General features: G+C 44.1%; 2 protein-coding genes across 2 annotated transcripts in view; both read right to left on the bottom strand.

Annotated features, from left to right (window-relative positions):
- Positions 1–18,747, bottom strand: part of TECTA (tectorin alpha) — a 90,248-nt gene extending 71,501 nt beyond the window's left edge. Inside the window, exons 1-7 of the mRNA NM_005422.4 lie at positions 18,548–18,747; positions 17,261–17,325; positions 14,026–14,159; positions 10,492–10,779; positions 6,781–6,918; positions 6,272–6,437; positions 1,272–1,684 (exon numbers count right to left, since the gene is read on the bottom strand). Of these exons, the coding sequence (NP_005413.2) occupies positions 1,272–1,684; positions 6,272–6,437; positions 6,781–6,918; positions 10,492–10,779; positions 14,026–14,159; positions 17,261–17,324 (1,203 nt within the window). The 5' untranslated portion in view covers position 17,325; positions 18,548–18,747. The remainder of the gene's footprint in view (positions 1–1,271; positions 1,685–6,271; positions 6,438–6,780; positions 6,919–10,491; positions 10,780–14,025; positions 14,160–17,260; positions 17,326–18,547) is intronic.
- Positions 1–22,806, bottom strand: part of TBCEL-TECTA (TBCEL-TECTA readthrough) — a 167,389-nt gene that overhangs the window by 71,501 nt on the left and 73,082 nt on the right. Inside the window, exons 8-13 of the mRNA NM_001378761.1 lie at positions 17,261–17,325; positions 14,026–14,159; positions 10,492–10,779; positions 6,781–6,918; positions 6,272–6,437; positions 1,272–1,684 (exon numbers count right to left, since the gene is read on the bottom strand). Coding sequence (NP_001365690.1) covers positions 1,272–1,684; positions 6,272–6,437; positions 6,781–6,918; positions 10,492–10,779; positions 14,026–14,159; positions 17,261–17,325 — 1,204 coding nt within the window. The remainder of the gene's footprint in view (positions 1–1,271; positions 1,685–6,271; positions 6,438–6,780; positions 6,919–10,491; positions 10,780–14,025; positions 14,160–17,260; positions 17,326–22,806) is intronic.

The following is a 22,806-nucleotide window of genomic DNA, read 5'->3' as shown; positions in this document are numbered from 1 at the left end:
TATAGTGCTCAACAGCACAATATAAATTTAAAAGGGAAAATCTCCAAATTTCTATATCTAAACTCTTAGCCTTGATTTGATATACAGAGTTGTCCCTACAGAGACTAACCAAATAGCAAGCACACTGGCATTTCAACCACAGTAATAGCTCACTTTCCTCATAATGAGACTGATAAACTGCACAGACCTGGGAAAGGCAGAGCCAGAAAGAGTGGAATTAGTTCCCTGGCCCTGCCTTTTGTTGGACATGCTACATCAATTAAAACTACAACACATTTTTTTAAAAAAGAAATAAATCCCTGCATTGGCATCAGTTCTGGTTTGTAATCTCTGTAATGACCTCCATGCATGGGGATTAAGGATTGCACTGGGTTGCAGCAATCAGCCCCTTGTGGTCTTGGTTATTACTGCTTGAATAAATACACGGTTGCAACAAGGTCTTGATTAACATTATGAAAATTGGGGCCTGCACAAATTGAGTAATTGCTAGTAGCTTTTTGCTTTTTCTCTTTTGTTGATGTCCCTGCTTGAAATCCAGGTGGACAGTGACAGGAATCATTTGCATATGCTAAACTGGCCAGCAGATGCCCATGTTCTTCTCTGTTATTCTAGGTGGGAGTTGGGGACTCTATTCGAGGGGTGTCTGGGCAGAGCTTTCATGGGACTTTCCCACCCAAGCCTCACTAAGGAAGTCACCAAAGCCAATCCAGGTGCCTGCACAGGTGGTACCTCTGGAGACATCAATCCATTTGGAGGTTTCTCTGAAAATGAAGCAGCAGCTCTTGAGCAAACAGAATTGGGGCTGAGGTGGGGTGAGGATTATTAATCAAAGGCTGTAGTGAATTGGGGGTTTGTATTGTGTTTGTACCATCTCCAGGGCATGGCTATGTGGCTACAATTATTGCAAGCCAGGACCATGAGAAACTTATCTCTTTCCAGTTTTTCTGAACTGTGTGTGTGTGTGTGTGTGTGTGTGTGTGTGTGTGTGTGTGTGTGCCTATCAGTGTTTATGAGGGAACTAGGAATATAAATGTACTCTAAGTTTAAAAGCAGATAGACATGTTGAGGAGAGAGCTTAGGATAGCTCTTGTACACATAAAATTTGGCCCAGTAAAGTATTTTACAAGCTATTTGCAAGGCGGGGAGAGCTGTGCATCTCTTTGGCACTGTACAGAGACAAACAGCAGAACCAGTAGATCTGGGGAAGTCTTCCCTAGGCTGAAGAATCTCCAGCTTCTCCATTTCCCCGTGAAGGATAGAAAGGGGCTCACCTTGACTCTTCCATAGCTTCCTTTGGGGATGAGAATCTTGTAGCCATTCACCTCCACTGAGAGCTCCTTCACCCAGGAGACGGCTGAACCTCTGCGGTGTTCATTCTTGGCCTCCACACTGAAGAAAGGGAGGCTGGAAGTCTGCAAACACTGTCGGGCCAGCAAGTAGGCACAGGAGCCTTGGAAGTGGAAGAGGAAGCCGTCAAAAGTGTGGTAGTGTGGCTCCCCAAACACCACGCATGTGCTGGTCTCCACAGCGCTGCAGTAGAAGAATTTGCCTTTGGGTTCGCACACCTCGTAGGGGCTACAGGAAGCCTCCTGGCAGTAGATCTCATTGTTGAAATCCAGACAGCGGCACTTGACGGTGCAGTTCAAGTCATCCCAAAACACCTCCCCTCGCCGAAGGAATTGTCCTGGGGAATAATGACATTAGAGCCAACATTTACTGAGCATTTCCCCTCTGTGCCAGGCATTGGGCTAAATGCTTTACTTCCATTATACCATTTAATCCACGTAAGAACCCTGTTAGGGAGGTATGGTCACCCTCATTTGACAAATGAGGAAACTGAGCCTTAAGAGAAGTGAAGTAATTCATCCAGGATCACTCAGCAGCTCCGTGGTAAAGCCAGGATTCCGAGAGGAGTCTGTCTGAATCCCGTCTAAGCTCTTGGTATTATTATCTCCATGGCTGGTGAGCAAACTCACATTCAAGGAAAACCACGTTATCATGAATCCATGGAAAAGGGTATGACACTTGGAGTCATTTCCTGCCTTTCCTTCCGAAGGAAGACCCAGTTTACCCAGGTTACTCGGCAACACTCACTGTTTGCTTGCTAATTTGTTCATTCATTCAACAGACATTTGTTGGGGGCCCAGTATGTGCAGGAAAAGGTCAATAGCACTAATCAGGAGTCAGATGCATGAGTATAAATCCCAAACTCCCTGGGAAGGTTCTGGAAAGCACTGACCACTTTCTTGCACATTTAAAGGCTCATGAATCCTGCAGATGCTGCTTAGGCAGGATTTACACCTACACAAATTGTCTTCTTTCCCACTCTAGGGCCCTGTCCAAGTCCAGGACTTCTCTCTGTCTATGCACCGGACAGACCTTCTTGACAAATTCTAGGTCAGGAAGAGAATGAGGAAAGGGGAGGGGAATGGTTTAAAGGGATGTGATAATTTTAAAAACACTATTATTTCTTTGGTAGACATGCAGTCTTTAAAATCATTTCTGTAAATAAATGACCTCCCCACCAAAAAACTTTGAAATTTTCTGGTTGCTAACATCAACCTTTAATTGAAATAGAAACACGTCTGGGCTGGGGACTGTGATCTAGTCCTTGCTGGGGGATTGGGGTCAAGAGAACTGGGCAGCAGTCACAAATCTGCAATCCATTTCCAAGACTACTCATTCAACTTCCACCTGTCTGTTTTCCTAACCTGTAAAATGTGGATACTGCTGTTTCTCATCCCTGTCTCACAGAGAACAGCGATGTTATAAAAAAGTTGACACAGGTTGATAGAAGTAGAAGCACTTGTAAAATGAGAATGTCTGAAAAGGCAAGTATCAAAGACACAGCATTAAGAAATGTAAATAACATCTCAAGTTTTTATAAAACTGACTATCGAGTGAATAGCACAAGGCTGCAAGGTTAACCCAAGTTGAGGGTGCGGGTGTATCAGTAACAGTCTTGACTCTATCTGCCCAACAGGAACAATGATGTTTCAACAGGCAATTCCATTTTATACCTGTTGAGAATAGGGTTGAAAAATGAGAGAATAGATTTAGTCACATTCCCAATAAGTCATGTGCATCAGCCCTGAAAACAGGTCCTAATCCTCAGCACTCCTTGGCACTAGTTCAGGGCTGTATGTATTGTGACAGCCTCCACTCAGCATCATTTCCAGGCCCTGCTTTTTCAGGCTTTCAATAAGTGAGAGGAAAATGCCTTTGAATAGAGGAGGTTTGGACCAAAAGGTAGACTCTTTGAGATAATTTTGTTTGTGGAATGATGATATAATAAACCAGCTCTACAGAACACTTCCCCTGCTATACCCCAGGCCAAATCCCAGTCTCATTAGATTGATATATGTCCGGAGGCACATAAAAATGCATAGCAGTCTATATAAGGATATTGAAATCATCCCGTATATGAAACCCAAACCTATAACTCAGGAGGAAAAGAATGAAGTCAAAGTGGAGACTGTGTACACAGCTGGCATCTGACCAACTCCGCAGCTCTGCAAGCCAGTGTTTTCCGTTATCACAGCATTTCATTCCCAGGACCCAGGTGAGAGGCTGTCACTGGGCACTCATGTTGTATGGCCATAGCCAGTCATCTCTGTGATGCCTGGACAAAGGGAAGAGGTATTTGGGTAAGAGTCTGCAACTTCTGAGGCCCCTGGTCCAGGCTATACAGGGGAGGGAGATAATGTAGTATTGAGTTGGTATCTCTCACAGACCTTAAGTGATGCCGTATTTACACTCTGTAGGGGAGGAGGGTACAATCTCAAATCCTAATGAGCTCTGGAACTAGATTATTTCCTATCCAGTTAATACCAGCTTAGCTGCAAAACATTTATTTGTTATTTTGAACATGGGGGACTTTACAGAGTCCACAGAGGCAAGGGTCCAGGCAGGCCATCTTCACACATGACCTACCTTAGAGCGAAGGCACTAATCACAGCACAGGGAAAGGGGCAGAGGGCACAGGTGTGTCAGACCATGTGAATGTGGCTTTTCTGTATATTAAACACATTGAGCCCAGGTGCAGTGGCTCACACCTTTAATCCCAGTGCTTTGGAAGGCTGAGATGGGAGGATGGCTTGAGACCAGGAGTTTGAGACCAGCCTGGGCAACATACTGAGACCCTATCTCTACAAAAAATAAAAATTAGCTGACATGGTTGTGGTTCTTGTAGTCCCAGCTACTCAGGAGACTGAGGTGAGAGGATTACTTGAGCCCAGGAGTTTGGAGTTCAAAGTTACAGTGAGCTATGACCACGACACTGTTCTCTAGCCAGTCTGGGTGACAGAGAGAGACCCTGTCTCCTAAACAAAAAACAACAACAACAACAACAAATTGAATCTGAGCCAAGAAAGAACCCCGAGGCCTCCCAGGGCTGCCAAGACAAGCAGTCCAAGCTTCTATCTGAGGGGATAAAGGCACCTCCTCATTCCTATCCAAAACTTCCTTAGAGGTCTGGAAACACTTTTCCCATGGTCTTCCTCTGTGTTTCCACAGTACCCTACACAAGTGTCTACCATAATATGTCTTATGCTGTGTCATCATTGTTCCCATGGCTCTGTCTCCTCTACCATAGTAATGTCATGGTAGCTAGAGCAGCTTTATCTCCAGCACCTCACAGAGTGGCTGGCATTTCAATGGGGCTCTTAAAATGCTTTTCAGAAAGATGCAATGGCTTGCTAAATGGCTGGATGACTTGATGGATGGGTTGGTGGATGGGTGAGTAGGTGGATGGATGGGTGGGTGAATGGGTGGATGGATAAATGGATGGATGGGTGAATGGGTGGGTGGGTAGGTGGATGGATGGGTGGGTGAATGGGTGGATGGATAAATGGATGGATGGGTAGGTGGATGAGTGGGTGAATGGGTGGATGGATAAATGGATGGGTGGGTGAATGGGTGGGTGGGTAGGTGGATGGATAGGTTGGTGAATGGGTGGACGGATGAATGGATGGATGGGTAGGTGGATGAGTGGGTGAATGGGTGGATGGATAAATGGATGGGTGGGTGAATGGGTGGGTGGGTAGGTGGATGGATAGGTTGGTGAATGGGTGGACGGATGAATGGATGGATGGGTAGGTGGATGAGTGGGTGAATGGGTAGATGGATAAATAGATGGGTGGGTGAATGGGTGGGTGGGTAGGTGGATGGATGGGTGGGTGGATGGGTGGGTGGGTAGGTGGATGGGTGAGTGAATGGGTGGGTGGGTAGGTGGATGGATGGGTGGGTGAATGGGTGGATGGATAAATGGATGGGTGGGTGAATGGGTGGGTGGCTAGGTGGATGGATGGGTGGGTGGATGGGTGGGTGGGTAGGTGGATGGATGGGTGGGTGGATGGGTGGGTGGGTAGGTGGATGGATGGGTGGGTGGATGGGTGGGTGGGTGGGTGGGTAGCTGGATAGATGGGTGGGTGGATGGACTAATGAACAGAGGCATTATTTCCTTCTTCTAATTTCTGTAGCTTCTACTCCTGGAAGTAGAAATATTATCAGAAATTCTGTTTTCTAAATATTTTTGGACACAAAAAAGCAGGAATTCATAAACCAGGATGTTTCTCTGAAAGTCCATGGTGAGTTTGCACATCTAAAGGGGTTCGATAGTTCAGAAAAGGCTCCAAACTTTGGGTGCCCAATGTGAAGGACATCCACCCAGGTTCAACTACAGCTTACTCACAGATACCCAAAGTCAGCTTTGATTCTCCTCAAATTCCTGCACGTTTTGCTGATGCTGGGAAGATTTTAGGAGAACTTTTGTTTCTTTTTTTTCTAATCATACTAGGAAGTACTGATTTACCCTCATAGGAACTTGGCAATACTCCAACTGCACCCATTCCTGTAGATCTACAAAGTGCAGAAGACAGAGCGAGAATAAGGATGAGAAGAAAAACATAAAGGGCGGGGGGAGGAAATGGCAACAACAACAACAAAAATAATGTTAAACAGGAGGGCTGCCTTCTGTCCCTCTGGCTCAGAAATCACTCAAGATCTTGGTCCATTTCGGAGTTGTTCAGAACGGATAACTGTGTGCACACTCCAGAAAAGGACTTCCAAAGCCACAAGGTAGTGAATGCAGTGTTTTAGCTTCTGATGTGATGAATGCACATGCTAAAATTACCTTGATCTCCATTACCCAGCGGAGAGATGTCAAAAGAGTAAGGCATCAGGAATGAGTCCGCCCCCGTGGCTTAAAAGCTTGCCTGTCAATCTACACTAAACAAACCCTGCCTTGCCACAGACAGAGGAAAAGCTTTACCCCTTGAGGTGCAGCCATTGGCTGGGTCAATTTCCTTTCCATCAACTTTAAATGCCCAGCGGCCTGGAACATTGACGTTTGTGGTCTCCTGGATATTCACGATCTCGGGGGTTCTTGACCCCGGGAGGCTGAAGAAATTGGTGAGGTTTCCACCATTAAATCCTGCCTGCAGCACAAAAGGAAGACAAGATTTTTGAGTACAAAAATTCCCCATGGGTTAACTGGCCCAACTACCTTATTTTTAAAATCCAGCACCTCTAAAATCAAGAGCCGTCTTTTCCTGGAGTCACTGGGGCCAGCATTCTAGGTGAGAAAGGACTGCCTAGTTCATTTCATAGCCGAGTCAGGGTGCCAAACATGGGCAGGACTAGCCTCGTAGTCCACCTGCGAGATCAGACCTGCGTCTCTAGTTAAAAGCTGGTGGCAGGATTCCCTCCAGGATGCTGAGCCACAGAAGCAGAGAGTGCAGCGACGGAAACACGCGGGGGATGAAGTGGAGAGCCACCTACCTGTGCCATCACTCCACCAAGACCTGTCAGGGGGTCGCCGCCACTCGCCGTCCCCGTGGTCCAGTTGATTTCGTAATAATTGAAGAGGGTGAATGTATAGGAGCCATCGGACACTAGGACGGCCTGGAAGGTGTTCACCTACAGGATGGGAATGCGCAGTCTCATGACTTGCACTCCCCAGGAGGTCCTGGCCCCAAGGAGGTCCTCCCTTCACCCTGCGCCCTCCCCACCCACAGGCAGCTCAGAGCTGCTCTGCAGCCAGGCCCTCCAGCTCTGACTCCTCTCTGAATTTGTTCTCGCCTCCGTTGGGAAAAGCAAGACATGTGGGACTGTGCTTCTAAAAGAGAAATTGCCTGAGATAAACCCAGAGTCTGACTCAGCGCCCACTTATATCTCTGACTTCTACCAGACAGAAAATTCAGAGGCCCGGCTAAGCGTGTGATAATATGAAAGCACCTATAGATGGCAGCATGAGAATAAACTACAGGAAAGACTCGGCCGGGGACCAGGATGCAACCACCGGTTCCCCTTGCAGAGCGGGTTGGAAGAGGGAGCAGATACCAGTCCGTGTGATTAAAGTGGCCATGCGGATTGCGCTCTCTCTCTTCCCGGAAAACAACATTAATCTTGATGAGATGTCTCCCCTTTTAAAAATGGAAGTGGGAAAGTGATTTTTAAAAAGCACTTTCTGGGGAGAAGTTACTCCTCTAATTGAGCATTTGTGCATCACTTTATTTCTGAAAATCGTTAACATTCATCTGTACCCCAGACCAACGCTAAGACGGGTGATCGTATTGGCCCACGCCTATCTTATAGTTAAGAAAACTAGGGACTGCGGGAAATGAGTTACTAGAAATTTCACAGTGACCCAGCAACAGAAAACGAGATTTGCGCCAGAGTTCCCAGTCCATCTCTCAGAGCACTGCCATTCCATGCTGTCTTCATTTTAAACTTTTTAGGATAGAGATGTTGCTTAAATTCATATGAAACTTGTAAATGGTTTTCAGAAATAAGCTGTAGCAAACCCTGTCCTTTATATTTTCCTCTTGCTAATCCTCACCCCTTGTCACATGTTTTCAAAAAATTTAATAGAAATAGAGTTAAAAGGAGAGGCTGCATTGACCTTTTTCTATTCAAACCTAGCACTTTTCCCAGCTGCCTGACACTCTGTCTGATGCAGAGGAAGACACAAATCCTTATCCTGTGTAATCAAACTGGGGTAGAGGATCTTGGAAGCCCCAAATCTCCCCATTCTAGATGATCCCAGAAAGGGAGGCAAGCTATGAGTAAGAACAGCCCTTTTTGTAAAGAACTTTTCTTCCCATGCTCTGTGCTGGCCACGGCTGATGGCGTTTGTGATAGACTTGCTCAGGTAAACGCCTTCAGTCTCTGGCCCCATTCAACAGAAGAGGACAGTGGGACACAGAGATGAGTGAGCAGTAGGCTCAAGATTGCTGTAAGGTCACCAGCAGGCTCTTGTTCAAGGGACAGGGGCAAAGTCAAAGTCACACAAGGACTAAAGCTAGAGCCTCCTTCAGACCAAGATTCTCCTTCAGAAGGGAATTCCTTCTCCCACAGTGAAGCTGGAAATATCTTTGGTCCAAGCAGATCTCAAGAGCAATCCATTTCCAACCCCTGAAGTCACCTCTAAACCAACCAGCCATACCAGTGACACCCCAGAGGCTGACTGCCACCCGCACGCACCTCAGCTCACTCTTACACATTCTCACACTACAGAATTCTTCAACGTTCATTCCAAGACTCTTCTGGATAAAAAAATCTTTTTTGCTTCTGAGGACTTCAGCAATACCCGCAGGAGGCAGCTGAAGAAAGAAGAGTCTGGGATTTGGAGTTGGAAGACTTTGGTTTGAACCCTGCTCTGTCTCCTAGGAGATTTGAATCCTATTCTTTTTCTTGCCACTTGAACGAGATACTTGGCCTCTCCCGGCCTGTTCCCTTCCCTTGAAATTGGAGACAGTACTTGTCCGGGAACATTTTGGGGAGGGTTAAATGATATGCAAAAATAGCCTTCAGCACCAGACACATAGTAAACCCTCAGTAAATATTAGTTTTCCTTCCTTGAAGTAAACATGTCCCTTTTCCTTCCCTTCTGTTGGCGTCGCATGAGAATTTTTGCCTTTGAAAGACCTCTCAAGCCCAGTGTTTAGCTGGCCTGATCATATGTGTTTCTATACAGAAGGGGAAACATGGAATAACGGGATGAAAGAGGTGGGGCCAATTTCAAAGATGGGGATGGATGGACACTTTTGCAGCTCCAGAGAACTACATCATCTTTTTTTACTCCAAGGAGCTCAAAGCACTTAGATGTTACTTCATTCATCCTCACAGAAAGAGTTCTCACCTAGTTCAGAAATATACTCCAAAGTATAAGCCAGAAAGTATCTAAATTATCTTGCCATTTTTATTGCCAATGGAAGTTTTTTTGAAAAACTGGTGGTCAGCATTTGATAGGCATTTCTTCCCCCAACCCCATGACACTAAAATTTATCAATTGCTGGCATCCCACATTCTAACGCTGTAAGATATGAGGCTTAAAGGACATAAAACATCACCCGAGGAGTCGTTAGCGATCTATAACGTGACAGAGGGAAATGTGTGCTTCTTTAGAGGTTATTTCTAGCCAATGCATCGCTGTTTAAACTTGTGTCTTTCTGTTCTACAGAACCTCTTAGCGATAAAGTGCTTCTTGATGCTCTGGCTAGGAGGTGCTAAAACATAATGTGTTCGTGGTGTCGCAGCTGTGAACTGCAAGCCCAGCACTTTTTCACCTCTCTCTAACTCAGTCGTTTTTGTTCCACCCCTCCACAATTGACTCGTTGCCAAGGAAATTGGAAAACAGATGGAATTGGAAATAATCCTAAGTAAGTGGAGGGCAGATTTTTTGAGTGTCTTTGCTTACTAGAAATTATACAGTTGAAGATGTGTCTACTACTTCAAAACTCTCCACTGGCAAAGTCACCCAAACAAGCTGCAGGCTTTTGTGAAAACTGCATTCTGTCCCTTTATGTAGAAAGTTGATTATCTCTGCAATAATGGCAGTGATAATCTTTCTTATCTGACTTTTATTTGACTGCTTATTTGGGATTTCAGAGCAGATGTTGAAACTTTATTCATGAAATGCTTTCACTGCCCACTCTAATTAACATCAAATATGAATAATTTCAGCCCTGGTAACAATAAAAAAGATGTCACAACATAATAAAATGAGCCAGATCATTTGGGCCCAAACTTGGAACGCTATTTTTCTCTTCCAACCAAATTTTACTGGGGAGAGAGGGAGGAAATCAGGGATGGAGAGAGGCACTTGTACCTCGGGCAAGAGAAAAGGACCTTTGGGTCCCTAGATGGGTCCCTAAGCATGTGGCCTGGAATGGGTCTCAGTGCCTCAAGCACTCTCCTGCAAAACAGCAATGTCACTTACAGCAGGAAAGTTTTTGAGGGTTTTTTTTTAGGCATTAGTGATGATTTGTGATAGGGGTGACATATCTTCTGAAATATTACAGCTGACTGGGCTGGTTAACTGTGATAGTTCCCTCTGTTTCCTGCAAAGTGGGTAGCAAAACTCATTAGTTTAACTCAAGGGAACTGACACTCCTTAGCTCTAATAATTAGACTCCTTCGTGGTAGCGAAGATGGACAAGAATTAGATGTCAGGTTATGAAGTGGAAAGCAGAAAATTTGAATTATTACAGGTGTGGTGCTGCTGCCTCCATAAAACGTGACTTCCTCCCATGTCACAATGAAAACCCAAGTGGCAGAGAAGGTTGCCATGTCTTTGAAGTACTTCCTGATGTCCTTGGTGGCTCTTTTCAAGATGGCAGGCTCCATGGTCTCTCTGTAATAGATCTCGCCTCGAATTCCATTGTGCACATCTGCCCAAAATGGGGCGACGAAGGCTCTCCCATCTGTCAGGGGAAAGGATTCTGGCGTGAACTGGCTCACTAGCACATTGAAGGAAACAACTCCGTTGTTATTGACCTACGAAAATAAGAGAGGTTTTGCACAGTGGATCTGAAACCATAACAACTTCAGAGTCACAAACCAAGACAGACATTCGCCTAACTGTATGAATGAAAACAACTTTTAAACTACTGAATTAGAACCCCCAAACACCGGGTTCCATTGCTCAGACTAAGAGGTTCGTTTACTTCCAGACAAACTCATTGGTTTTCTTTCACATTAGATTTGTAACCAGCTTCATTTCTGATTAATAATCAGTCTCATTTTCATGTTCCCTATCCTGTCTCTATTACACTTATCAAATGCTCCTGAGTTGTGCTTCTGTGTGTGTGTATGTGTGTACTACAGGTGAGATGTGCATGTGTGTGTACTGAAGGGTGTGTGTGTACTGGGGTGAGGTGCGTGAGTGTGTGTTTGTGTACTGAGGTGAGGAGTATGGGTGTGTGTGTTCTGGTGATGGTGTGTGTGTGTGTACTGGGGTGAGGTGTGTAAGTGTGTGTGTACTGGAGTGGGGGTATGTGTGTGTGTATTGGGGTGAGGTGTGTGTGTATACTGGAGCATGTGTGTGTACTGGAGTGGGCTTTGTGTGTGTATTCTGGGGTGGGGAGTGTGTGTGTATACGGGGGATGTGGTGTGTGTGTATACTGGGATGTGTGTGTGTGTGTGTACTGGGGGTGGTGTGTATGTGTGTGTGTATATTGGAGTGTGTGTGTACTGGGGTGGGCAGTGTGTGCATACTGGAGTGGGTGTGTATATGTGTATGTACTAGGGGTGGGGTGTGTGTGCTTACTGAGGTGGGATGTATATGTTTGTGTACTGGGCATGGTGTGTATGTGTGTGTATACTGGGGTTGGTGTGTACATGTGTGTGTACTGAGGGTGGTGTGTGTGTATGTATATTGAGGTGTGATGTGTGTGTACTGGGAGTGGTGTGTGTGTGTATGTGTGTACTGGGGGTGGCATGCGTGTATGTGCTGGGCCAGACAGGGAGTAACATGGGTACTAAAGACAGATTCAGGGTCACTAATACAAAATAAGCAGGAAAAATAAATAAGCATGGAAGTAAAGTTAAATTTGAAAATTGAGGTGCCCTATGTTAGGGCTTGCTTCCTATTTTATGACAAAAGAGGAGTGTCAGAGAAAGATAAATCAAATACTCCTTCATCCAACTCCAGTCTCTGATGAAAATATTCTGCTTTGGGTGAGACATTTAAAAGACCTCCACTGATGTCACAACCACTCCTGCACTCAGAGCAAGGACAAGGTTAAGACCTACAGATGCCCAGTTCCATTCCAGCTCATGTGGTGTGATAGTGTCCTGGTACAATCGCTGCATAAAAATGGAGGCATGACTACTTTACACTGTTTATGTAAATGACTATCTTATGGTGATTTCTTCATGATTTGTAAATGGCTTAGTAAACCAATTAAATAGGAAACCTTACTGGAAATCACAAGCCAAGATATACCCTCAGTTTACAAGGGACCTGTAAACAATTCAGCCTCTGCGTGAATCTGCAGCTCTGTACGTTGGTAGATAAACTGATTTAACCCTGTGGCTGACACGGCTTCAGCAGCAGAGGTACCTGTAATGGGAACTGCAATTCTTGGATATAGAAAACCTGGAGATAATTTTCCTATACATTCCAATCATATGTTAAGTTTCTGTTAACCAGTAACATTATGGACATTAACAGTGGCCCAGATCCCAGAGGCAAGTTATCAAGGCCTGGACCAAGGGTAGGTCTACGTGTTTGGAAGCAAGGCTTTGGGTTTGGAAGAGACATTAAGAGCCTATTGTCTTCCAGTAATTGGGAACATCCTAGAGGCTTGAAGAAAACTGCACTACTCAAAGTGTTGGAAACGCAAGGAACAATTTACCCTCAAATAAATCTGCCTCAAGCTAAGGAACCTCCTGTTGCAAGGGCAAGAAAAAATTCTTCAGACTCCATATCACACAGTGCAATAGAGAAGAAAAACTAGCTTAACTGGGCTTCCAGCACGGAAGTCCTCACTGCCTTATTGCCAAAATCAGGTCAACACAACCCAAAACTTAAAACCAGCTATTACAAAGACAGACTAGGGAGGCCCTGCCGTGAATAGAGTATAAAAGGCGTTTCAGGATGTCAGAATGAAGTGTTTGCTAGGGAACAACAGGTGTAATTAAAACACACAGACTGGCAGAGGAAGCTGGTGATGACTCACGTGTGTCTTGATTATATCCTATGGTTGAGATCAGTGGTTCTCAAACTTTTGTGGGCATCAGAACCACTTGGAGGACTCATTAAAACACAGATTACTGGCTCCTCCTCCCAGAGTTTCTGACTCAGTAGGTGTGGGGTGGGACCTGAGAAATGACATTGCTAATGAGTGCCTGTGTGACGCTGCTTCTGCAGGTTCAGGGACCACCGTTAGGTAATGGAATAGTGAACTCTTTTCTAGCGGGAATCATCCCGGAGCCATAAATCAAAAGTTGGGGAAGAGAGAGGTCCCAGACGTAGAGATGGCCAGAGGTGGACATGCTTAGGGTTGCATTCTTCCTCCAGGGGTGTGGTATAATCCCTCACCCAGTTCTTTAAGGCCAACAATAAAGCCAGGCTCGGCTGCTCTGAATCTTCCTCTTCATGTGCCACAGTTTCGCTAGCAGCAAACCCAATGATCCAAAAAACCAAAAACAAAAACCTGAGAACACAGGTGCCTAGGAGAGCTCTGATCACAAATGGGACCATTTCTTAGTGTGGGTTGGGCGATGAGACCCTCTGGCCTATCTACAGACCCATATTGAGGGTGGCCAATTCTGCAAACAACTTTGATATAATAGTTGATTACCCCCCTACTGTGTTCCGACTCTGCTTCAAATTGGTAGGAAGCCCAAGAACAGCAGATGCCTAAACTTTTCACACCCCCAGAAGGGAAAGAAAAATGATATTGCTCCTACTGTGGTTCATTGTATCTTTTTATCTCGTTGAGTAGCAGAAATAACATTCATGGCATTGGGGCTTCTGCTTCACTTCTATGTTTAATCACTGACAAAAGCAATTTATTGCCCTGTATACTCCTCCACTATGAACATTAGCCATTAAATATACCTTTGACTTTCTTATTCATAAAACCTATCAGCTCATGAAATCTCAGAACTTGTCGTTTTGGCTGCCAATAAATCCTCCCTTCCCAGAGCTCTGGAAGAGGATACTTAAAATGCTTTTCTTAATGACAAACAAAAGGGAGGGCCAGAGAACAACAGATGGGCTGCTTCTCCACTTACATAGACAGTGCGGTAAGGAACGCCAAAGAAGAAAACTGGGATGGCCAACTTAATCTCAGATGAGCTTCCATCATCTACTTTAGGGGTTTTGGTGTCATTCTGCCAAAATGGATACATGAGCTCCCTGGGCTGAGCTGTCAAGAGAGATGATGGTTAGATAGATGGCAGCTCCCTCTGCCGTTTGGCAATCTACATCTCTCCTACCTACTGAAGCCAGCTTCTTTCAGTAGGGCTTGCAAGCTGAATGCAAGTCATACTGCCCTGTCATTCATCCTAAACCTAGGCCATACACAGCGCAGTATCTTCTGCTCTGGGAAACGGGAAAATGGGAGTGACATTGTTTCTCCATAGGAGAAAGCACTTTGTGCATGTTCTTGCACTTTCATGCATCTTGGTGATATCTATGGCTACAGCTGGCTGGAAATTTGTGAAATTTCCCTGGAAACCTTGAGCTTTCTGGATACTGAGAGGCAGCCTCTAGGTCTGGCATGGCCACAGTTTTGAAGCTCCTGTTCTAGCTCAAGAATTCCACTATCGTGTGTTTTCCTGAAAGGAGTTCCCTCCCTCTTGCTGCACAATTGGAGAAAATCCCAGATCCCAGAAGGAAATAAACAACAGTGGGAACTGAGACAAAAGTGGGAGGAGAGGATTTGTAGCAATTGGCCCATGAATGACCTTGATTGAGGGCGGCCCTGCAAGAGGCTCTTTGCCCAACTCCTTTTTTACAAAAGACAGACATGAGATCCTCCGGGGTCAGAGGGTTGGGTCCTTGAGAACTCTTTGGAGAGAATGAATTGCAGGGCTCTGATTGGTCCTCCTGGTCACTGGAGAGCCATCACACAAACACACACTGCATCCCGCTGTGACAGGGTCACCTCCTCTCCTGGCTTGCTGCTCCCAGGTTTCCCGTCCATACTGTTGCAAGATGTGGCTCAGTTTTGTGGGAGAAATGAGACAAGTTCCCTAGGGTCTGCATCACTGAGGATCAAGTCCAATAGCATCTGTGAAATAATCTACATTTTGGGTGTTACTTTTCTTTGCCTCTGTCCTTTCTTCTCCTGAATGAATATAAGACAATAGGACACTATCGTTTTCTCCCTTTTTTCCTTTCTTTAAATTTCTCATTCTCGGGGGCAGGGGCAAGACCATGCTGGGCATCGGCCACACTTCTTGAGGTACCTGCTTGCTGCTATGAGATGCCGACACCCCCATTCTCATGTCGGGCCTTCTACTTGGGAAAGTCCCTGCTCTGTGCTGATGGAAGCAATAGGCTGGGGAGCAACCGGCCAAGGACTGTCTTTGCTCCTTTGGGAGGCTTTTGGTGAACAGACAACAGCTCATGTAAAAGAGAGGAGTGCAAAGCGGCCAGAAAGCAGGCCTGTTGCACCAGGCCAAGAGCCAGCTCTCCAGTTCTGAAGCAGGGAGCAAGAGGAGTTATGCCTCAACGGAGGGCTAATTTCTTTCCAGGGGCTGACATCCAAGGAGAGCAGCAAAACTAATCTGGTCATTCGTGTATATGCATCGTCCAAACCCCAGAAGTTGCTGAGAAGCAGCCCGAATTTGAGGCTGTAGGAGGCGCTGTGTCGGGTCATAGGCACTCTGGGCCCATGAGCTGTATTTAATGTCACAACCAGCAGGTGAAAAGGGGTCTTCTAACATTTCTATTTACATAATAGTAACAAATTAAAAATTCCTGGAAGTACTAATTAAAAAAAATCTTTATAATCTCTACTACAGTATTATACACAGGTACTTATTTCTGAAGTTAACAGTAACAAATTATGTCCTGGCATGGATTTATCCTTCATGGGGAACTTTTTAGGAGTCATGCCCAAGTATGAATGAGGGCTCAAATTCACACTGAATTATCATCATCTGTATGGAAAGATTAATTGGTATTTTGGGCTGCACTGATTGGCCAATCTGCCTAGGGAATGGAAAACCCATAATACCGCATGGAGGAGACGGAAAACCATGGCCAGGGAGAATGACCCTAACTTCCTCTTCTGCTGCAAAGGTGAGGCAGTTTGCAAGATTCTTCTCTTCGTGGGTGATCCTAATTAGTTCACAATTTTGAATAGGAAAGAACGGACTGTTAAATATTTTTAATTTTAAGAAGGATACAAACATTAAGAATATCTAATATGGTAAATAATACTTGTCAAATGAAAAAGAGGGTGCTAAACACAAGGGCGTAGGTTTAAACTACGGTAATTAACACTGCAGAAGCCATTATTATTTTTATATATATATATAAAACTGTTAGCAGCATGGCCTATCAATAACATCAGAGTTGCTAAAAGAAAGAATATCCCTATCCATGCTTGCCCTAAGCTGAGAATTTCACAATAAACATAGCTATGTTTCCAGGATTTTTTTTTTCCCACCAAATAAAATGTACTTTCTTGGAGCTGGGGTAGGAGGTTGAAGTCAAGGGCCCTCTTTCATTCCCGTGGGGTTTCACACTATGGTTTAACTGCTTAAATTCACCAATTCTGGAAAAATATTAGCACTGCACAGGGGCTTGACGTGTTCATCTCAGACTTGTACTCATGTGCCACTTGAACTAGACAAACTCGCAAGGTAAAGAAAGGTGCCTTAGAATTTTAGCCATAAAAAGTTAAAATCTACGTAGACCGCCCCGTCTTTGTCTAAAATCCAAAACAACAGTAGAAAAAAGACATATGTGGCCTTTCACTTACCCAGGGCAGTGCTACACAGAGAAAAAGAAGGAATCACTGAGGGGAAAAATTGTCTTATTTAAGTTTTAGATTTGAGGGCCACGTAAAAGGTCACTGATACACAAACCACTGACATCAATGCTATTGTAATTTCCTAGTTTTTGGCCGAAATAAGTAGATTCTTTAAAGTCTCCACCACAAATTAAATGCCTTAATGGAAATCAGTGATCAGACATGAAGTGCACATACCCCTATCTTATCTACTTTTAATGGAAATAATTTTGCGTAATTTTAAAGATCTACTCCACTAGCACAGGGCAAGCTGGTACATACAAATAGTATTTGAAGTTAAATAAGAAAAAAGTGGGAATATAAGTAAACCTCATTTAAAGTTAATGAATTTTACCCTTGATAATAGAATTTAATTACATTTTTCTCTTGTATCTGTAGACACACATGCACCTGCCCTTACAATTGTGGTTCCAATAAAAGTGTCTCTTTATCAATTCAAGAGCATGCTAACTGAGAGCTTTATGGAATTCTGTAGTACTCACCTTGGTGCTGTACAAGTGCGAAGATGAAAGAGACCCAAATTCTAAGGAATGATGAATAATTCATCCTGGAATTTTAAAAAGAAAATGAAAAAAAAATCCCCAGCTTGCCAGAGTAAACAGAACACCAGGTGTGTTTAGTGGCTAATCCCAAGACCATCAAAACCGTCATAGAACAAATTCACATAACAACATCAACAGTGCTGAGTCGGGCTGAAATCCCCTGAATGCTGGCAGGTCCTCCGAAGTTCAACACTTCATGAACAAATTAGATGCCCAGAAGAAGCCAGTCTGGAAGTGTAATGAGATCATTCAAACTGTCAAGTAATTATTTAGGATCAGTGAGAGTGGTATGCGTAAAGGAAAGGTATCCCCTCTGCATCAAATAAAGCGCTGAAAACTAGGACCCAACGCTAAAGATGCATGCAGGTCCCGGGTTGTGTCTCTGCAGCAGAAACCACACCCCAGTGAGACCTGGATTTCCTAATTTTCACTACAGCTTTCCATCAGAATCAAACAAAAGTTGGTTAAAACACAATGTGTTCTACAGCTAGGAGAATTTAGAGTCTGCCATCACCTTCTCCATAGAATGGAGCCGATCCATCATTTTGAAGTATTGACCAGATTCAGGGCCAGTCTACTCTGTTCACTGACTTCCCACAGTGAAATGAATGATAGAAACATTAGTAATAAAAAAGGACCAATCCAGAGTTGGAATCACAATAAAAATAGAATCCAGCGCACAAGCAACCAATTAGTTCCAGCAAGTTAATTAAAGAAGGAACACAGCAAAGAGAAACTTGTTTTCGTGTTAGTTTACAATCGGTTGCATGGTGGCTTTACCCTCCATCAGGAGCATGTTTTGTCTGTGTCACTCTGCAAAGCTGCGATGAGAACACGGACGCAAGCTCAAGTTAGACATCACCCAAGCGTGTGGCTAGACCATGAAGTCTCCTCCTGACAGTATTCTTAAAAAAGAAAAACCTTCCTCTTATCATTTGAAGTTATCACAATTCTTCAGCCAAACTTTCACGGGAAAGGCAATGAATTTATCCTGTGAGAGTTTTATTGCAAATCTTTAGTTGTCAAGTATATATGTTGTAATTTCAAGCACATATTAAATATTAGACAGTTTTGCTGGAAAGGGTACAAAGGTTTAGCAGAGATCACACACAGCTTTAATGGAGAAGATGCCGTGCAAGTTTAAGACTAGAGCCCTTAGGGAACCGGTTCAGAGAGAAGTAAGGAGGATTCATTTAGATATTTGTATTTATGAAAAATGTCACTAACCTGTTCTGTAGAGGCTGGAGGAACTGAGTCAGAAATATTAAGCCAAATCTTGGTAAGCCAGAAAAAATTAGGTAAAACAAGAATTCATGTCAGTTCTCCTCAACTTGTTGCCAATAATTTCTGATTCCTGAAATAATGTCTGAATCTCGTACTCTTAAAACCAAAAATTAAGTTAGTCCTGCACTAGAGACAGGTAAGTGTTGAGCTGCAATCAAGTTTTTTTCTATTGATTAAGGAAAAGTAAATCTAAAGATCAGTTTCAGGATTGCGTAGAGAGGTTCTTTTCCTGAAAAACTAGACCTTTTTTTTTCCCCTTTGAAAAAAAAAGTAGATTCAGATGGAAATGTCAGGTACTTGGAGCTGAAACCTTGGGCCTTTCTGATCAGAATCACTTTGCACTGAAAAACACAAAAGAAAACCCCCCTTCTACCTTTGTACCCAAAAGAAGGCAACTGTATAATGTTACAGAATTAGCATCCACCAGCATGGGATTAAAACTCCAAACAAAGCAGCTGCCTCCAACATTTAAATGAAGTTGGTTTTCTATTAAAGTCTTTTTTTGTTTCTCTGGTTTTCAACAGTCGCCACAGATAGGCTCTACTCTATTTTTTCACAGGTATGCATGAAGTATTTAAAGAAAATTTCCAAACTTTTTAGGTTTTATGCCCTCTCTTTTCTCTCTGATGCACCGCTCTGCAGGAGATAGGACAGGGCACTTTCCAGGCAAAATCTAACAAGGGACCTAGCGCTAGACACGATCTTCCACAAGGGAAATCTCAAACTGTGGCCTGGAAACCTTCCCTAACACCCAGTGAGGGTCACTGGAGGCAGAGGGGGGAGATAAACCCCTTCTGATAAAAAATTTGCAGTAAGTAAATAGTTTAAAAGGCATGTGAATAAGAGGAAAACGTGCTCGGTTAGATGCTTCCAAGCATCCAGTAGATGTGGAATGAGCAAAACTGGCTAAGGCATAAGCTAAATCTACTATTCAAAATGTTTAAATGGAATTTATTAAGAAAGAAGTAACTTGACTGTAGCAGGAAAAAAAAACTCTTCTGCACATCAATGGGAATTTAAAAATTACTGCAAATTTTCTCTGACCAGACATTTAAATGCCAACTGTACAAAAGAAATATAATTCTGGGTTTAAGCATGTTGTCTTAAAATGGACAAGAGTGCTTGGCGAGCTAAATTTTTTTAGTTTAAATTACTCCGTGTTTTTCCAAAAACCTGTGATAATTCAGTAGGTTTCCCACATTGTTTATTCTCTCACTGGTATTATGAATCCTCCACACATATTTACTTACAGATGTTAAATGACTGCTTCTTTCCAAATGACTCACATTTATTTGTTTTTCTTTGGATTCTAGGAGTGCTTAGAATGGCGTATATTTATATAACAGAAAAGCTAGTTTCTTGGGTGCCTATTTAAAATAAAATTAAGTTCAAATCAAAGACTCATTACAGAAGGATTCTCTTTGTCCAGCCTTAGGTTTTAGTCCAGTAGCCAACCTAAATGTCTTGAAGCAAAATCGCTGGCTGTGTTTTAATTAACTGCTGGTGGCATACTAATTGCTTTCTTCCTTTTTCATGCATTCTAGGATATTTATATCACAGCCCTTTTGACCCATGTTGGATGCTCCATCCTTCTTGAGACAGGACTGCTGCCCGGATAAATGCCATCTGGGCATAACCAGATACACAAGATGGTGGCATACATGAATTAGAATGCCTTTGAGAATCCGGCTGCAAGGGAACACCAGGTGCGTGGGGAGACACCAGGCTGGCTTATCACTTTGGGAAGCTGGTCAGTGAGTGTGTGTTCTGGTGTACACCCAGTGGTCACAGATTGACAAATGACAAAAATGTCTTTTCATGCTGTGTCAGCAGGAGGACTTATTTCGTTGAAAGTGTGAGGTGAGCAAAGATTTTGACAAGATTTAGATGTGGGGTACGGTGGGGGTGGGTTGGAGCTAGTTACCCAAGATAACTGTGCTTTATAAAAAAAAAATGGCAGAAGTTGATGCTGTTTTATAGGCAAGAGGAAAGACAGCTCAAACAAAATAAAAAAATACAGTCCTCTAAACTCAAGTAGAATGGGTTTTATTTTGTTTTTGTGTTGTTTTCTTAGGTTTTGTATACCTTTTTCTGTGGAACAGATGGTCAGATGGGAGCTACTTTGAAATGATGCAGTTATTGGCTATGGCAGACTGGGAGATGCGCCACTTAGACCCCCGTACAACAGAGATGTGAGAAGCACAGTTGGCCAACAGCCTCCAGCCCTCAGTGCCTTCAGGCTCAGCCCCAGTGCTGAAACCCAGGACACACTCTTCATGGGGCAGCCCTCCGCCAATGACCGGGCAAGGTCAGGCTACACAGTGTATCACTTTCCACTCAAAGCAGGACTCCCCGAATGGGCAGTTTTTTCTCTGGAGAGCCCTGTTGAATGACAAGGACTTGGTCAGGCACTCAAGGGAAGCAGCTCTATTATGCCAATATCAAGGCCTACCTGGGAAAAACATACATATATGTGTGTGTATACATATGTACGTATATATAATTTATTATATATACGTACATATATATTATACATATGATTTATCATATACACATGTACACACATATGTACATACAGGTATTTTATATACCTATTTTATATACCTAGCCTCATTTGGAGGCTATCTGGGTAGATGCCTCCAAAGATTTATTTCTCAAAACTTCTGATCCTTTAGACACATCCTACTCCACACCATCAGGAGTTAAAATTTCTCCCAGCACAGGAAGACAGTAGACAGGACTTTCCCCCACAAGACAACAGTTGCTCTCTTCAAAAGCTGCTCCCACCTTCTCTCCTGAATGCCAGGCCTATAATCTGGGCTAAGCTGCCACATAACCCAGCCAGAGACATGCTGGGCCTGACAGGAGTCTAAAGAGACTGTGCCCACGAAGGTGCTGCAGGTGCAAAGCACCAGCACACACTGGTAGGGATGAGGGGAGGGCATACCCAGGGGGCTGGATTCTGAGGCTGCTCTATCAAGGAGGCTGGGACATAAGATAGAACAAGAGAGAGTTTGTTGACTTAGGGGCACTCTCTAGAGCTACAGACTTCAACGTGGTGTCAAGAACACAAGGGGATGGTGCAAACTCACTCCTACTGAAGCTTCTAGAAGCCTGGAAAAAACGATGGCTCACACTGAGCAAGGTTCAAATGCCTGAATTACCATGGCAGATGGCCGAAGAAGGGACCAAAAGGCTCACAGATGTTTGCATGGTGGAATAGATATATTATGTGACTCTGCTAGGCCCACTGGACAATCATGTTCCATGGAAGGCCAGAGGACAGACGCACCAGCCACCAAAGCCAGCAGGAATATACTGGAGAGGGAGGCACCAGCATCACTAAGCAGCTCAGTAGTGGCTCCCTAATGCCAGCCAAGGCTAATGCCAGGAAAGGTGATCACGGAACTTGGCTCTGACAGCAACGGAGATGATGGGTCCGTGAAGAAATACAAGCCAGGTGACGTCACTCTACTGTGTGAAGCCAGGGATGTTGGGGGGCAGTCATAATTTTTATAATGACCAAGAAGATCAGAGGGGCAGCCAAGGGGCCTGATTCTTAAAGAGTCAAGGACATGCTTAATAGAGCACAGTATCCAAGGGGCAAAGCAGTTGGGCAGCCAACGAAAGCATGATTTCCTCTGTATAATAATATAAAAGAGCAAGGGCCGGGCACGGTGGCTAACACCTGTAATCCCAGCACTGTGGGAGGTCAAGGCAGGCAGATCACCTGAGGTCAGGAGTTCAAGACCAGCCTGGCCAACATGGTGAAACCCTATCTCTACTAAAAACACAAAAATTAGCTGGGCGTGGTGGTGTGCCTGGAATCCCAGCTTCTCAGGAGGCTGAGGCAGGATAATTGCTTGAACCTGGGAGGTGGAGGTTGCAGTGAGCCGAGATCTCCCCACTGGACTCCAGCCTGGGCGACAGAGCGAGACTCTGTCTCAAAATAATAATAATAATAATAATAATAATAATAATAATAATAATAGCAGGAATGGTTGAGAAAGGTGGAGAACAGTGGTCCCAATAAAAAGCCATGGTCCCTGCTTGGTTTCTGGATCTGAGTCAGTTTTCAAATCTGGAATCTGTAGACTGAAAAGGTAACAGGTCCCCAAAGGGAAGGACCCTGCAACACCATGGCAAATATGGTAATTTTCCCAATCTGTCCCCAAAAAGACCTTTGGCCATTTACACAAGTG

This window comes from Homo sapiens, chromosome 11, assembly GCF_000001405.40.
Source record: "Homo sapiens chromosome 11, GRCh38.p14 Primary Assembly".
Classification (NCBI taxonomy): Eukaryota; Metazoa; Chordata; class Mammalia; order Primates; family Hominidae; genus Homo; species Homo sapiens.
The sequence above is the reverse complement of the archived record's forward strand: the minus strand, read 5'-3'. Positions and strand labels throughout refer to the sequence as shown.